The sequence below is a fragment of the Homo sapiens genome, chromosome X (assembly GCF_000001405.40).
Source record: "Homo sapiens chromosome X, GRCh38.p14 Primary Assembly".
Lineage (NCBI taxonomy): Eukaryota > Metazoa > Chordata > Mammalia > Primates > Hominidae > Homo > Homo sapiens.
This window is the reverse complement of record NC_000023.11, coordinates 21,684,661-21,688,409: the sequence shown is the minus strand read 5'-3', so window position 1 is coordinate 21,688,409 and position 3,749 is coordinate 21,684,661. Positions and strand designations below refer to the sequence as shown.

Here is a 3,749-nt window from a genome sequence, read left to right as displayed (position 1 = left end):
AACGGCAGTTAGAAAACAGAAATGATGTGAACCAGATTCTTCAATTAACCCAATTTCTTCAGGTCACCATCAACCACAACCAGTCAAGGACAGGTCTAACAGAAAACTCTGTTTCTAGTGGAACACCACTTGGCAACCTTCCGAGAGCAGACACCATTAATCCAACAAGTCTACACTCAAGCCTTGCCATTTCTCAGAACAGTCATGAAACAGTCCACTGATTACATAAAGTTCAAAAAGACTCAAACTGCATGGTGATCCAAGAAGAGAATTTCTTGTGGTGACAGGTGATCCAGAAAATCAGCTTTACCCTTCGGTTTCAATTATATGTAGTTCAAAACATACACGTTTTCCTTAACTCTGGGAAAATATCTGCAAGAGTAACTTACAAATGCTTATCCACTATAGGTAAGTTACATTTGGTCTGGAGCACTTACAAAAGGACCCTAGACATGTAACACTGAACAGGGCAACAACAGTATTGCTTTTAATCAGGCATTTATAAACTACGGTCAGGGCATTCAAACTTTGTTTATTCCATGATTATCTTTATAGCCCTAAATGATTTCAGAATTTGCTGAGCACATATTGAGTTACTGGAAGGGATCAATAGTAACTTTAAAGAGGAGATTGTATTGTTCAGCAAACCTTGACTGCATCAATAGCTGCAAGGAATAAGATGACATGATGCAATACTCTTTGTCTATCTCTGCCTGCAGACTCTGTTCTAAAAACTCTGGAGGTGAGCTGAAATTAGTCCCACTGTAACAATTGAGGCCATATGTCTTGATATTGACAGCTTACTCAATGTTCACTGGAAATGTACAATAAAGGCAGATAATTCTACAAAATCACAAGTTAATATATTAAACTATATTGTCTATAAAGCAACTTTTCATTTATTGGTACAGTGCTTGATCACGATTTCGTTCCATTTAAATCAATCTAACTCTATTCATAGGCACAGAATTTTCCTACGTGTACACCTACCTCTCAAGTGTAGAGTCCAGCCCTACGGGGCTTAGCGGGTGTTCTCCCCGTGCGCGGAGACAAGAGATCCTAAGAAATAAAGACGCAAGACAAAGAGATAAAGGAAAAACAGCTGGGCCCAGGGGACCACCACCACCAAGACGCGGAGACCGGTAGTGGCCCCTAATAGCTGGGTGCGCTGATATTTATTGCATACAAGACAACGAGGCAAGGTAAGGGGGGTGAGTCATCCAAGTGATTGATAAGGTCAAGCAACTCACGTGATCATGGGACAGGGGGCCCTTCCCTTTCAGGTAGCCGAAGCAGAGAGGGAAGGCAGCATACGTCAGCGTTTTCTTCTATGTACTTATCAGAAAGATCAAAGACTTTAAGACTTTCACTATTTCTTCTACCGTTATCTTCTAAGAACTTCAAAGAGGAACCAGGAGTACGGGAGGAACATGAAAGTGGACAAGGAGCGTGACCATTGAAGCACGGCACCACAGAGAGGGGTTTAGGCCTCCGGATGACTGCGGGCAGGCCTGGATAATATCGAGCCTTCCACAAGAAGCTGGTGGAGCAGAGTGTTCCCTGACTCCTCCAAGGAAAGGGAGACTCCTTTTTGCGGTCTGCTAAGTAACAGGTGCCTTCCCAGGCACTGACGTTACCACTTGACCAAGGAGCCCTCAAGCGGCCCTTATGTGGTCGTGACAGAGGGCTCACCTCTTGCCTTCTAGGTCAATTCTCACAATGTCCCTTCAGCATCTGACCCTATACCCGCCAGTTATTCTTTGGTTATATTAGTAATACAACAAAGAGTACTATTAAAAGCGAATGATTTATAATGTTTATACATATTAAAAGCGAATGATTTATAATGTTTATACTAACTATTGATAATGGCCATGATCATCTCTATATCTAATTTGTATTATAACTATTCTTATTCTAACTATTTTCTTTATTATACTGAAACAGTTTGTGCCTTCAGTCTCTTGCCTCGGCACCTGGGTAATCCTTCGCCCACATCAAGTTATTTCCCTTATTTGGAATATCGTCCATTCTTTTCAAGAAAACAGATAAATCTTCTCTTTCAAATCCTTTAAAACCATTTTCTTTTTCTTAAAACCTTCTCACACTAAACTTACCTGGCTGATCTTGTCAAAATATACTTCTTCAGCATTCACTATGTGGTGGGCACTGAGTTGGACTCCAGGATGGGCCAGAAAGCCCAAGGGTGGCTAATGCAGGGGGCAATGGATAATCCAGCAAGCAAGAGCCACACAATGTAATGGGGTTCAGATCTAAGCAGCACAGGGGCTCTGGAAGCACTTGTGAAGGGCACTTATCTTTATGAAGTCCAGGGAGATTTTTCCTGATAGCACAGATTCTTGCTAGTGTCCATTTTGAAGACAAGACACCAAGCACCCTACATTCTAAAGTCAAGGAGTTTTCATAGGTTAGGGACAGCCACCTCAGGGCTTGCTGAGGAGCTTCAGCTCACACCCACCCTGTCCCCCAAGTCTGCATAAGATGACCAAGAGTGGGAGATGTCAGAGGCCTTTTGGGTTAGTGCAGTGTTCAGAGGAGGGGCTAGTTTCTCTCCTCTTTGTGCATCGAAGCCAAGAGAATCACTTGTACACAAGTGTTGACAGTAAAGATGGACTTACCTTTCATCTTCTGGTTGGATTTTAGCTTAGTCATTGGACTTGTCAACTTGTCCCTGGCTTCCCTGAACAAGGACAATGAGAACAGGCAAAAGGTGACAGGGCTAAGCAAGGAGCTGGCAGCAGACCCAGCTGTCTACCCACCATTTGGAATAAGGAGGATCTGAGAGCTTCCTGAGGATGGAGTGGGCATCTGGGAAGGTAAGTGGGCTTGAGCCATGTTGCTAGTAACACATTTCCTTCCCAAAGGGATACCCTGAAGAAAGAAGCTAAGGGGTAGATTGTCTTTCTGGAGGTGATGGGTGGGAGTGAACATGGTCCAGGTGAAGACTAGTAGCCAAGGGTAGGAAAGAAACGCAGTGGGGAAGACCCAATCTGGTCCTCTGAAGGACTCATGTATGTGCTCCATGAGACTCAGGTATTGGAAGCCTCATGAAATTGGGCATCTGTGTTGGTCTGCCAGTGTTAGCAAGAGAAGCAGGGGAAATCTAATAAGAGGAATGCCAACTTCTTCAGTAAAGAAAAGGGACATTTGCTGTTTTCCTTCACTCTTCATCTGCCCTAACACATGGAGAAGTTAATCCCTTCAACAGAGAGAAAGAGAATGTGTATAAAAAGCAGACCACGTGCCATCCTCCATTCCAAGTCTGCACTGGAATAGAGGAATGAGTTTTAAATTGACCTTGAGATTGAAATTCTAGAACAAAGAGGATTGAATATTTAAGCTGAGTGGAAATTATTCTGATAATCAAAAGTGACGGGTCAAGATGTTTTTAAGGATCTGCTACCCAGATGAAGGATGAAGAGGGGAAGATGAGAAGAAGAAAGTGGGAAAAGTATTGCAAGCAGTATGTGTGAAGTCTAGGGGTTGAGGAAGAGAATAATACATTCTGTGATCCAAGTGAAGTATAGAAAGCTACGGATGGTGGGGGTGGGTAGTTTGGAGAGATGATACACCAGAAACGCATCCTGATGGGACTTGTTAGCCATATTTCAGAGTTTGTGGAACTTTTAGGTCGTGATTTCTGTAACGGCAGCCTACAATATATCCTTCCCAGTGAACCTACTGTGGAGTTCAATTGGGACAGCAGGCAGCAAATGTAGTAGATTGCT

The 3,749-nt window shown here is 43.2% G+C and overlaps 1 annotated feature.

Moving 5' to 3' along the window:
• Positions 603 to 1,802: an enhancer, noted in NCBI's record as "BRD4-independent group 4 enhancer chrX:21704726-21705925 (GRCh37/hg19 assembly coordinates)". NCBI's record gives its function as "activates an origin of replication core promoter dependent on BRD2, P300/CBP, MED14 and CDK7 cofactors, and independent of BRD4, by STARR-seq in HCT116 cells {active_cell/tissue: HCT116}" and the evidence as "EXISTENCE:reporter gene assay evidence [ECO:0000049][PMID:35650434]".